This window comes from Homo sapiens, chromosome 1, assembly GCF_000001405.40.
Source record: "Homo sapiens chromosome 1, GRCh38.p14 Primary Assembly".
NCBI classification, from domain to species: Eukaryota; Metazoa; Chordata; class Mammalia; order Primates; family Hominidae; genus Homo; species Homo sapiens.
In genome coordinates, this window is record NC_000001.11 from 190,760,878 (window position 1) to 190,774,801 (window position 13,924).

The window sequence follows — 13,924 nt, forward strand, 5'->3', positions numbered from 1 at the left end:
TGAGCATTTACTACACATAATCCATGATGCTAGCTGATTGGGGAAAAAAGGTAGGTAGAATAGTAATGCTTCTTGTCATCAGTGAGTTTATGGTTAGAAGGGGAACAGAAGTAAAAATTATAAATGTACTAAAAATTAAAATTAATTGCTAGTTGTATAAATTGAAGGAAAAATCATGAATAATATGAAGAATAGTACAAAAAAAACACTTTAAATTTAACATCTTCAGAAGGCATCCCTTGGTAGATGATTAATCTAACATCTGGAAGCAGAAGGCTGAGAAGCTACCTATACCAGGCTTCAAGAAAGTGCATGTATTAAAGCTTCTGAGGCAGACAAGAACGTGGTGTGTTTGAGAACCTCAAAAGAACAGAGCAAGTGCAGCAAATGTAAAACACAGCAAGAAAAGCTTCAGTGAGGTTACGGAAATGTTAAGGATTATTTATGTTAAAAGTAGAAACCCCAACTTTGTAAGCATAATGGAAGTTTTTAAAAGGTTTTAAGGAAGGAGTGATCCAATTCACATAAAATAATTTAAAACAATACTCAAGCTACTCATCAGAGAGTGGACTGAGGTGGAAAGATTAGAAAGGGAGTTTAGTTAAAAGGATATAATGGTAGTGAAGGTGAGGGAGGATGGAGACTTTATTAGAACAGTAGCAACTGATAGAAAAAAGGAGGCACAAGCATTGCCTAAATAAGGTCCAAATAAAATATAGTATTATATTTAATCAAGTCATCCAAATATTCACAGAATAAAATAAACTAAGCAGCTCAAGAATTATTCCAATTAGAAGGCCTGAGGTCATTCAAATTTAAAAATAAATTCATAGATATTTGTGGGATAGTTTTTCTCTTCTTTCATGCTAGTACACAGGAAATTAAATGAAGAACAATATTATTTATTATGTTTTATTTATTTTCACAGTCTTTACCATGAGTCAGTGTTATACATAATAACAGAGTCATCACATTAGAAATATGAAACTAATGCTCATTAAAAGTTACAATTTAAGCTGAGCATGGTGGAGCATGCCTGTAATCACAGCTAATCAGGAGGCTGAGGCAGGAGGATCATTTCAGTTCAGGAATTTGAGGTTGCAGTGAGCTGTGATCACATCACTGCACTCCAGCTTAGACAGCAGAATGAGACTGTGTCACTAGGAAAAAAAAGAAAGTTTAAAATACAAAGTTTTAGTTTTTTTAAAAAAATTTGCTTAGCTTGTTTTACAAGCTACGTAATGACCTCATCTGGGGGTTAAATCATTCTATGTGATTGTAGCATTTGATACTTGCTTAAAATTCTAAAACTATGGAGTATTACTCTTTCCTCATTTTGAAAATATTACCTTTAATATGTTTTGCTCAACTATATCTATGATTCTTATTTACCTTAAAGGTTATGTTTGTTCATGATCAATTTTCCTCCTTAATAAAATTCATCTGATTCTAAGAAAGAGGTTTTAAAAGCTGAGTAGCACACTCTTTTTATTATTCTCATCACAATGGAGGTGGTGAAATGCCACTCTATTATCATTATAGGACCAGGTGAGTCTATTGAACTTGCATGGTAGGGACAGTATGTGCCTGATGAAATGTTTCAACTTCCAGTTAGTGAAATTTTGTTCAATCAATACAAAGTGCTGAGGTGACACATCCTGCTTTATATTGTGCAGGGTATTTTTAAGTAGTCAACTATGATATTCAATGTCGAGGTACTATAGTGATGTATTTAAGTTTAAAAATGCCTTACCGACTTTAAGTGCTATAAATTTACCTTTTGTGAGTGATAAATTTGACTTCACAGAAGTTTGGCAGAGTCTCACCGTTCTTCCAGCAAATATTAAGAGTTAGTTCTTTTTAACAGTCTATTTCAGTTAAATCTTTTCAAAGACCTTTTTAAGCATGATAACAGTATAATTCAGGTAATGCTGTTTTATATGTGTAAACACATCACAGGTCAATTACAATTATATTATCAAAATTCTCCATATTTTCAGCAAAAAAAAAGCCAAGGCAGAGAAGTTAAGATGATATTAAATGTGAAAATATTATAAGCAAGGAAAGATGGGACAATTAGATACTTCTGTTAAATAAATCCAAAATTAGGAGAAATATAACTAAAATGTATAAACAAAATAGCATATACTTAAACTTGTTGGTTATACAAACAATATGTTAATTCTATGCCAAAATACACATGAAAAGAGAGGAAAGGAAGAAGAAAAAAGAAAAAAGAGAGAAAAAATAATGTTTAATCTAAAGTATCTTCAAAAAGAACTCGATATGAATCTTTTACTCTATTACAGGGGAAGTCAGTCTAAAACCTAAAGCAATTTCATAGAAGGCATATCTCTTAAACTAGTGTAACTCTTAAATTCTGTCAACAGCATCTCTAGAATAAAGCTGCTATTAAATTTATGTTTTATGCACTGACATTCCCTTTACCTCAACAATGTCAGCCTTGGGATAGAAACAAAAGAAAAAAACATTAGACTATTGATACCAAAAAAGAGAATGAACTTGAAGTAATATTAAAATATATATGTGTGTATATATATATTTTTTTCTTTTTTTTTCTTGAGATGGAGTTTTGCTCTTGTTGCTAAAGTGCAATGGCACGGTCCTGGCTCACTGCATCCTCTACCTCCCAGGTTCCAGTGATTCTCCTGCCTCAGCCTCCCGTGTAACTGGAATTACCACCATGCCCAGCTAATTTTGTATTTTTAGTAGAGACGGGGTTTTACCATGTGTGCCAGGCTGGTCTCGAACTCCTGACCTCAAGTGATCCACCTGCCTCGGCCTCCCAAAGTTCTGGGATTAGAGGCGTGAGCCACCGCACCCAGCCAAAAATATATTTTTTAATGAGAGTACTTTTGATTGATATTGAAGAAATTATTGTCTGCATTTTCTTGAACTACCAATGCATATATTGACTACATTGAAAGAAAAAAAAAAACAATCCTTTGTATTATTATTATTACTTTTTGAGATGGAGTCTCGCTCAGTCGTCCAGGCTGGAGTGCAGTGGTGTGATCTCGGCTCACTGCGAGCTCCACCTCCCGGTTTCACGCCATTCTTCTGCCTCAGCCTCCCGAGTAGCTGGGACTACATGCGCCCGCCACCACGCCCGGCTAATTTTTTTTGTATTTTTAGTAGAGACAGAGTTTCACCGTGTTAGCCAGGATGGTCTCAATCTCCTGACCTCGTGATCCGCCCGTCTCAGCCTCCCATAGTGCTGGGATTACAGGCATGAGCCACCGCGCCCGGCCAAACTTTGTATGACTTAAAATTTTTAAACTTTGTATTTTTAATGATTTAAAACTATATTAAAACAATATATAATTTTAATTAAATTTTAAAAGTCAAGATGAACGCAAGATAAGGCCACGCCCTATTGATAATGAGAAGCGATAGCTTCAAATAAATGTAGGCTTCTATTTAGAAATATTAACCAAACATCTCTTTACATGCAGGTTCTATGAAGTATTGACTTTCATTCTGTACACAAGAGATTGAGCAATTACTGTGTTAGGTATCAGAACAAGAGCATTGTTTTGTCATTTCTTTAATCTTCTCAATGAGCTTATTAAATGGATTTTATTAGGAATATTTATAAATAGAGAAAATAAGGCTTAGAGAGGTTAAATAAATTGCCCAAGTTCAGTCACTTAAAAAGCGACAAAAACAGTTTCCCTCCCAAATTCTGCTCTGAGCTTCTAGCAGATACATTATGAGATAAAAGGATATTTTTCCTTTATAAAATAAATTTTTCAATGCAGAATTTTTTAATTGCAGAGAAACACAGCAACACTAATGTAGTTTTTCAGTTCATTATATCCTGTAATAATGAGGGCAGTTCAGCAAGGTAATTGATGTTATTTCCTGTAGATCATTACTACAGAATTAACCACATATCATGGAACTTTTATTAATGATTACAAATACCTCAATCACATATTTCTGAATACAAAATCATCTAATAGCATCTTTACCCTTTTGGAAAATGGTACATGAAGAAGAACATCTAAGTAAAGAGTCCAGAATATTTCAAAGGTAACCTTATAGGTTTCCCATAAACATCTAGCGAGTACTCTTTCTTGTGCAATCATTACACTAAAAGGACCTTCTCAATTTTTTGAATGACTGACAGCAATGCCTATTATGTCTTACAGCTTTGAAATGTGAGGTAAATGCCTGAGTAAACATCATAATGCAATACAAGATGCATTACATTTTCTTCCTGCAAATGTGATGTCTTCTTTTATCTTGCCATAACTTCTTTCAGACAAGACAGTCAACAGGTAATTCTATTCCTATTTTGCTACTGAAAAGAGACAGCAAACTGGAACTGAAAAGTGAAGTTTAACTTCTTTTACTAAAATCACCAATTTATTTTCATTGCCTGTGTTTGGATGAACAAGATACTTAGAGAAATCAATGAGACATCTTTAGTCATTGTTATGTCTCTCATTGTTTTCATCTCAAGGTATCATCAAGTGTGTGTCTATGCCTCAACATAACAAAATTATATCCACATCTCATATGAAATTACACATTTACTTTGCTCATCACTAAATACTTCAGTGCCCAGTATCTAAAATTGCATTTCAAGTACTGATGTGAATTGACTCATTCCAAAATCTAATTAATTTTGAGAGTTTCACCTTTTTATTTTCTGGCATCTCCCTAGGTTTTGAGGCCCTTTTCACTTACCTGCTCTTTGAACACTTAAATATAATCTTATTTTTTTCCATTTTCAAATATCATACAATTATTTCCATGTGCCACTGTTTTAGTACATTTTGTGTGGCTATAAAGGAATACCTGAGGCTGTGTAACTTATAAATAAATCAGTTTATTTGGCTTACGGTTTTGCAAGCTGTACAAGAAGCTTGTGTTGCTTCCAGTGAGGGCCTTGATCTACACTTTCATGGCAAGAGGTGAAGGGGGAGTGGGCACATCACATGGTGAGAGAGGGAGCAAGAGAGATGCCATGCTGTTTTTAACCTATTATCTCTCACATAAACTAATAAAGTTAGAATTCACTCATTCCCATGGCGTAGGCATCAAGCCATTCATGAGGGATCCACCCACTTCAGCCAAACACCTCCCAGTAGGCCTGATCTCAACACTGAAGATCACGTTTCAACAAGAGATTTGGAGGAAACAAATATCCAAACCCTATCAGTCACTATCCTGCTATTTAGCATTCATGATTCCATTTTCTAAAACAAGAATCCTAATCTTACTGGAAACATGCTTTTAAAGCAAATTGGGAAACAGCTGTTTCTTGCTATCATAATTTTAAATTGATGACTCTCCTTACCAATGAGACTTGACTTCCTCAGCTATAATTTAAAAGGTCCTAGAGAAAGACTGTTACTGAACTCAATTGCATCAGAAAATCACTATCTCTAACTCAACTAGCAATGTATATAAAGAAGAAGTGCAGTCTCTTAAAGATTGAAAGAATGGCTGGACAGGTGATTTAACTTTTTTTTTAAATCAATTAAGACTTTTTAAAGCTCCAAAGGACAAAAAGATCAACAAAAACTTGCTTAAAAGATGGCAGGAAGTGTACACGGGAGGAAAACAGATATTGACAATAAAACTTCAAAGTTCATGAGTATATAGTGCAGGCTTCAGCATCACTTAATTCAGGGTTTAAAATGATGTCACCCTCACCTTATCTGTCTTCATCAGTATATCTCCCTTCAAGTTTGTTTAATTTTAAGGCCTCATGTTGTATTTAAAGGGGTGGTAGCAGACCCAGATTTTTCATGTGGTCAGCATCAAGTTCAGTGGGGAGATCGATGACTCTCTGAAGTAGTATTCCCAAGTAAAGTCCCAGGAATTATTTTCCTCTGCTTGGGCTATGTGTCTGTCCCTAAAGAAATCCACTTGGCTTAGGAAAATGTGATGCACTGCCTGGCTTTGGTTTTTGTCACCTCTAATACCTGGAATCACTGAGTAGTTCCTTGCACAGGCCACTGGAATAAGAATAAGAAAGTGAGTTGCCCCGGACTGCTATTTTTAGATGAGTGGCAGTAGATCCCCAAGTTCAAACATATTTTCTTCTTATGTAAACATGTTGAAAATATGTCCATTTTTATAATTCAATGGTACCATATACATGTCTAAACTTACTTGCCTTTTTCACCAAAACATGCAACAAAAGATCTCATCCACCTATTAAGTCCAGATCCAAATCCTGGATCCCAGAGTTTTTAAAATGTCTTTCTATTGAGCCTAGATGTGCTTCATAAGGCTCAATAATGAGTTTACTTACAACACATTAAGTAAGAATGATGAATAGAGAACTGAATATGTGCAGTAGAGGAAAAAAAAGCAGAGATTTGTATTTAGGAAGAGAAAGTGGAGACAACACAGAGTAATACTTTACATAATTAAATTTAATAGAGCTTTGCTTGAATTTCTTGAATGAAATAATTAATTTTAATATTGTAGTGCATTATTGCACCCTTGAGCTTTATAGAAACTCTTATTTGTAAGTACTTTGCTACTGAAGAAATTAGTCCCTTATATATCTCTTCTGGGTGAAATATTAGTGATTTTTCATCAAATCCCTAAAGTTTTTGTTCCTATTCATTTAATTTGGGGTGGGAAATTTTAGTCATTATTTCATGTATATTTAAGAAAAAATCAGAATTATTTTTACTCATTTAAATACATTGTTATTTATATTTTATGTCATTTTTAATTTATAATAATTATGTACAGAAAAATGGCCTTTTACCCATTGTTGTTTTGTGATGATTTCACATTTATACTCTAAAATGAAGCCCAACTTCGTAGTGCAGAATAAATTGAACTCACACAAAGAAGTTCACCTTACTCTGCCTGGAGGAAGTTCTGAGGCTCTAAAATGCACTTCAGCTCAGTTTACGCTTCTGGGGTTACTGACTAATACATCATTATATACCACATTTTAGTGCCTTAAGAGAACAACATGCTGTTTTTGCAAGATAAACCAGACTAGTATAAGAAAGCTCTTGTTAGATTACACAGTGAAGTTCAGAAAACAAAATGATTACAAGTTAACTTAAAAACTTCCCACCAACTGTTTTCTACAAAGAGACTCCGTTGTGTTTTAATCTTTATTTTTTATTTTTTATTTTTATTTTTTAACAGTCACACTTTGTCACCCAGGCTAGAGTGCAGCTGTGCGGTCCCGGCTTAATGCAACCTCCACCTCTCAGGTTTGAGCCATTCTCATGCCTCAGCAATCCAGTAGCTGGGATTACAGGCATGCACCACCCACTTGGCTAATTTTTGTGGTTTAGTAGAGAGAGGGTTTTGCTATGTTGGCCAGGCTGATCCTGAACTCCCGGTCTCAAGTGAGCCACCTGCCTCAGCCTCCCAAAGTGCTTGAGCCACTGCGCCCGGCTAAGTGTTTATCATTTTTGATTTTGTTGTTTTGGAGTTTTAGAAAAAGCTAAGAATGACAAGGTAGATTAGAATAACTTATAATGTATTCTTATTTATTAACCTCAACAAATTCCACCAATGTTGTGAGGCATATATTTTTATTTTGAAAGTATGTGCAGAGAATTAGATTTAGTCTTAGCAACTCTGACTCATGTTTATATAAAATGTGAAACACTGTGCACTGATTTCTGCCAGTACTAATGCACACACACTATATATCAGAAATATTAAGAAAAAGCATGGGATCTATTTGATTTCAAAGAAAAACAAAGATAGTGTTTTCAAAATTTGTCTACTAATATTTGGAAGAAAGACATAGCAAGACTGATTTTAGTGGGGTTGAAATTCAAGAAGGGTAAGAATGAAAAATTTTGATGGAAGAAATCAAGATGTTCTAATATTCACAGGATTCCCAAGTGCACTATACAGGTAGAAGAATTGGGACTTTTGTGACATTACACTATTGGCATTGCCTATAGATGAATCTCACTGTACTTGAACAATTTAATCTTGATCTGGGAGAGATTTTTATGGCTTAAATTAGGAAAGATTCTACACAATCACTTTTCTTCTGTTCGAATAAACAAAAAGTCTGCAAAAGACATGAGTTATACACAAACTATTTAAGTCCCTTACAAGTATATTTGATTAACCTTAATTAGATTTTCTAATAAGATATGAGATACATATTTTAATTATTTTAGGAACAACTTTTATGTCCTAGCTTTTATTTCAGAAGAATGAAGCAATATTATAATTGGATATTTAAGCTATCATATATATGATCATTTTCATTTGCATGATGCTAAAAAGGACAGGTTACATATTTGTGTTTTGCCATCTTTTCTCTTTCTTTTTTTTTGCGTGTTGTTTTCTACAATAACTTAAAGATAAGAAATAACACATATGTAGAATTTGACAACTGTCCCAATATGGGGAACTGCAGTATTGCAGAAGATACTTAGCCATTCCTTACTTCAATGTCTTGTTAGGCAAGAATTTAGTCCCTATGTAAAGTATACTGATGAACAACTACAGCAAAATAAATGCCTGTGTCTAGTAGTCTTCATTTTAGAAATCCTGTATAGTCCTATTTTTACAATTTGAGATGTACATTTATAAGTTTGAGACATAATTAATTCCCTGTATCTCTATGCCAGTTTTATTTTAACACAATTCCATGATAAGTACATGAATGAAATGTAAATGTGAAGAGTAATATCAATAGATATTAATTTGAATAATTTGGAAAAATATTTTTAATGTCAAGGCACTAAAAATTACCTGCTTGAAATTGTGTTTTGTTAATCAACTTTAAGAAAAAGATAAATAATTATAAAAATTAATAGGATATTAAGTCATTTACCATGTATTCTAAAAGTTGACCTGTATTCATTTTTTAATTGTCCTAATCTGTTCTTTTTTCTTCTCTTCAGTTCTAGTTGTTTTTCTCCATTGAGAACTAATGGAATTTCACTAGCTGTCTTAGAATTTGTGGGCACTTTTGTCTTCTAATGAAAGAAAACCAACTGTTTTATATTCCTTTTTTTCTTTCGGATGGATCTTTAGAACTAGATTTATATATGATATATATGTATAATGTATACATATATTATAAATACATTTAATTGGAGAGGTAGAGTAGGAAGACAGATAAATTGGTTTTGATTTCAGAGAAAATATCAGGGCATATGACATATATATGGAAAATACAACATATAGAACACACTGTAAGCCATTGGTCTCTATGAGATTATCCAGAGAATGAGAATATAAAGAGAAGGGAAAGGAATATTAAACTGTCAGCGGCCACTGATAAGGAATAATAGAAGAAACTACCAAAAAAAAATTTAATAACACTTCTTCAATATGGAAAGAAAGCTGTAGTCAGAATGTTACAAGTGTCTAGAAAAGCTAATGTGGCTTCTATTAGGGTCTGCCATTTCTAAATAAAGAGCACATCCAGAAAGATACACTGTACTTGATGCCACTAAGAGGTTAGTAAGATAAGGGCTAAGAGTTGGCCGTCGGATTTAGCAATATAGATTTCATTAATGACTTTGATGAGACTGATTTCACTGGAGTTTGGGAAATCAAGAGAATAAGTTCAAAAGATAACAAAGGAGAATATTTTGAGAGCACTTAGAGATAGTAAAATTATTTTCAAGAAGCTTTGCCAGTGGTGTAAAGTAAAAAAGCAGTAGCTAGATAGGAATATACACTCAATGAAAGGTATTCTTAAAAAGAACAATATGCCCCGCACTTTGGGAGGCCAAGGCAGGAGGATCATGAGGTCAGGAAATCGAGACCATCCTGGCTAACACGGTGAAACCCCGTCTCTACTAAAAAAAAAAAAAAAAATATATATATATATATATATATATATATATATATATATATATATATAAAATTAGCCGGGCGTGCTGGCGGGTGCCTGTCGTCCTAGCTACTACGGAGGCTGAGGCAGGAGAATGGCGTGAACCCGGGAGGCAGAGCTTGCAGTGAGCAGAGATCGCACCACTGCACTCCAGCCTGGGTGACACAGGGAGACTCCGTCTCAAAAAAAAAAAAAAAAAAAAAAAAAAAAAAGATCAATATGGTGGTTTGTTATGTTGTGGTGGTTTGTTAACAATTTTTTGTTAGTTTTTTTTTTTTTTGGAAGTATAATTTCTGTCACAAACATAAACACAGGTTTTCTTTGTTTTGTTTTTAATTTCTCAAGTGTATGCAGTGTTGTATTTGGTTTCTAAGTTTTCATAATTTTTTAGGATGAAAATTTGCATTTCTTGCCTATTGGTAGTAAAAGACACATTTAAATATTTATTGGTGGAACATAAATTTGTTTTAAAAACAGTGTTGTCTAATTTTTTAATATACTTATTTAAACAAAATTAGATAACATTCACAGATATACCTAATATTACTATAAGGTAAGTTTCTTGCAGAATTTGAAGAGAAATGTGACATATTTTGATTTATTTTGTAAATTAAATTTAATTTGAGAAAAAAATCTTTTGGATGCAACTCTATACTACACACAAAAATGCTACCAATTAAAATATAATGTCTATCCTTGTAAATTGTGTTATATAAACAGAAATTGTGCTAAGTGACATCAGAATTTTAAAAATATCTAAGACATTAAATTTCTTGTTTGTAAATTGTACTCATTATTTTTTTTTCCAGTTAAGCCTTTCTTTTTCTCAGAAGTAAACCAAAACAACATTTTTTTCATGATCTGTGTGTTGTAAGACACATACACAAAGGCAAGGGTTCAATGTTTATAAACAGCATATTAAAATATGAAGGTTTTTTATGTAAACCTCCTTAAAGAGTTAAGTATCCATGCCTGGTAGTTTGCATATTTTCACCATTTATCCCCTGCAAAAATTACTTTAATCTTTTGCTTTTAAAAAGTGGATTGAAGATTTTAGGAATTAACTGCAATAACTCTTTTGTCTTTCCTAAGTTTTGTTTATATTGTTCATAATATAGAATCCTAAAAATTGCATTTCCGAAGCCGGGCGCGGTGCCTCACACCTGTAATCCCAGCACTTTGGGAGGCCGAAGCCGGCGGATCACGAGGCCAGGAGATCAAGACCATCCTGGCTAACACTGTGAGACCTCGTCTCTACCAAAAATACAAAAAAAAAATTAGCCAGGTGTGGTGGCAGGCGCCTGTAGTCCCAGCTACTCGGGAGGCTGAGGCAGGAGAATGGTGTGAACCCAGGAGGCGGAGTTTGCAGTGAGCTGAGATAGTGCCACTGCACTCTAGCCTGGGCAACAGAGTGAGACTCCGTCTCAAAAAAAAATAATAATAATAATTGCATTTCCAAGTGTGGATTAAGAAAGGGAACCATTTGTTGTTGAGAATAGCTGTATCTTTTGTTCTTTTGAAACTTGAGTTCTCAAATGACCTCTGTCTCTATATTCTCTCTTCTAATGCTTATGGAGGCTAAGACTTAAAGTCAAGCATATAACTGGTAACATTCTGCTTATCAGCTCTAACCCAAGCACTCCTGTAGTGATTCACTTCCCTACCTAAAGCAGTTGAAATTTTAAAAATAACGTTTGGCTCTTGGAGAAGAAACCCCAGGCAAAAGCTTCACCTGGGAAAAAGAATTTATTCTTTATTATTCCTTTATGAAGGCATATCGAACACTTAAAATATATTGTTCCAGGAGTATTTCTATATTGTTTTGTTTTTATTTTTTTCTATGCCTTTTTGAAACAAAGACACATGGAAGAAAGAGAAAACTACAATTTGAAAAATAAAACGTTATTCAAATCACAACAGAAAGTAAAACCATCAGAATAAACTCCTCTTAGTCATAGTATTTTTCTTATCAATCACTTGGATTCCCATTAATCCAGTGAACTGTAAGCTTTGTTACAGATTCCTGTCAATTCAAGTTGATTATTTTAAACCTGGTTATTTTAAGTGAGTCTTGTTGTTAGTGGTGTTTTAATTTTGTTTACAATTTCAATATTATTCATAGACAGGGCTGATCATCACTTATGACTCTGAGGCAGCAGGAATCTGTCTTTCGCATCTGCATAGTGGAAGTTTTAAAGACTTGAGAGTAAAATTTCCTTCTTATGCGTCTATTTCACTTAGGCTTCTGGAAAACTATTAAATTGAAAATATTAATAGAAGGCAATAAACTCAAAGTAAATTTCATCTAGCATTTTAAGGGAATTAATAGACGATTAAATGCAAATGATGAGCTAAATTTCTAACCAAAAGGGAAGTCAGCTCTTGCTTCTGGAATGGCAGAATGGAGCACTAACAAGAAATTTTGTAAAATGTGGAGGACATACATGTAACTGGAAAGAGTCCACCATTTGGTCAGCATCCACCCTAATGGTAAATTTATAAAATAGATAGAAATAGGAATAACTGTATTCTCTTGAGGTATGTGTAATTTCTTTACATATATTATTTTGTTTTTTGAATATGCAAGTGGTAAGAGATAAAAACATTTTTAAATGTATTTTTTATAATTCAGGAATAAAATAAACATTCCAACAACAATTTAATTTAACACTTATTTTCTTAGAAATTAAATAGAGATAAATTTTACTATCACATTTTATGGTTGTTAATCATGTAGAATATACACAAAAAGAAATTTAAAAGATTGTACTTAAGAGCGAAATAACATTAAAAAGTACAATGAATGGATTAAACAAAATATAATAATAGTTATTCACTTTTGTAAAAGTACTCTTGATACATATTGAAAATAAACTTTCACAGTAGATTCAGTTGCATCACTTTCTATTCATTACTAATTCTTCATTATTGCGGTATAAGAAGCTTCCACAAAAGGTCATTGGTGAATATTAACCTGACTCTGATATTAGATAAACTTATTTGCAGCATTTTATACCTAAATTTTATAATTAATGTTTCTGTCGAATTATTCCTAATTGAAAGCTGACAGCTACATGGAGCAAAATCAAATTTATTTTGACTTACATAATATCACTTACTGAATGAGTACAGTGGGTTTGGGCCATAATCTGAAAAGACACAATTCCAAATGTTATAATCCCTAAAGTTGAAATCCTGAAAGATCAAAATTTGTTGTCTAAAATCCTCAAAAATCACAATCGCAAAATATCAAAATCTCAAAAGTATAATTCTGGAAAAAAATAAAAGAAAATTAAGGATACTTATCCATTTATTTAAAAAGGATTAATTTCAGAAATGAAAAACATGTCAGAACACATTATAGTCCAATTTACACAATAAAATAGGCAATAATAGCATCCATATTTTACAAGAATAATTGGGCTTATTAATTACAATAATACTGCTATATCAGTTATAAGCAGATGAACTGTATTTATAAAAACACAAGTCAAAAATTTAAATGTATAAACACATATCACAATGGTTGGTATTTGAGTGCACTCAGCTTTATAACTGTGGTCACCTGAAATACTGCTATGGACAACATAAGTATTTGACAAAATCAATGAAAAACTGCGATAGGTCACCATCGTATATGCAGTTGTCCAAAAAATGATATCTTTTCATTTACTGAGGAGATTTCAAAATTTTTAGTTATACTCACAATGCTTACATTCAGGGTCAACATTGTGATAATGCACTTGGTGAACTCAAATTTAAGATGTCCAAGGCAGCAGAAGAAAAATCTGCCCCAGCTCTCAGAAAGACCAATTTGCCTTGTGTATTTGTTCTCTCTGGGTCCATGCTGCAATCAGCACCCTCACAGACACAAGCAAAATAATGCTTTACCAGGTTTCTAGGTATTAATTCAGTCACCATTTTAGTGGAACATAATAATTCCAATTATCTTACTTAAAAATTTTGCATAGACCAACAGAAATCACACCATGGAAATGTTTATATCGAGTTTTCAGAGATAGCTCAATTGCATGCTATATTCCAGTGCCAATCATAATTCTGAAAATACAATTCTGAATGCCATAATCCCAAATA

General features: G+C 33.1%; 1 long non-coding RNA gene across 1 annotated transcript in view, besides 1 other annotated feature; it reads left to right on the top strand.

Annotated features, from left to right (window-relative positions):
- The window catches only part of LINC01720 (long intergenic non-protein coding RNA 1720), a 176,769-nt gene that overhangs the window by 135,988 nt on the left and 26,857 nt on the right, over positions 1–13,924 (top strand). The window lies entirely within an intron of this gene.
- Positions 6,039–6,239: a silencer, noted in NCBI's record as "peak580 fragment used in MPRA reporter construct". NCBI's record gives its function as "represses an SCP1 promoter by STARR-seq MPRAs in K562 erythroleukemia cells {active_cell/tissue: K562}" and the evidence as "EXISTENCE:reporter gene assay evidence [ECO:0000049][PMID:32103011]".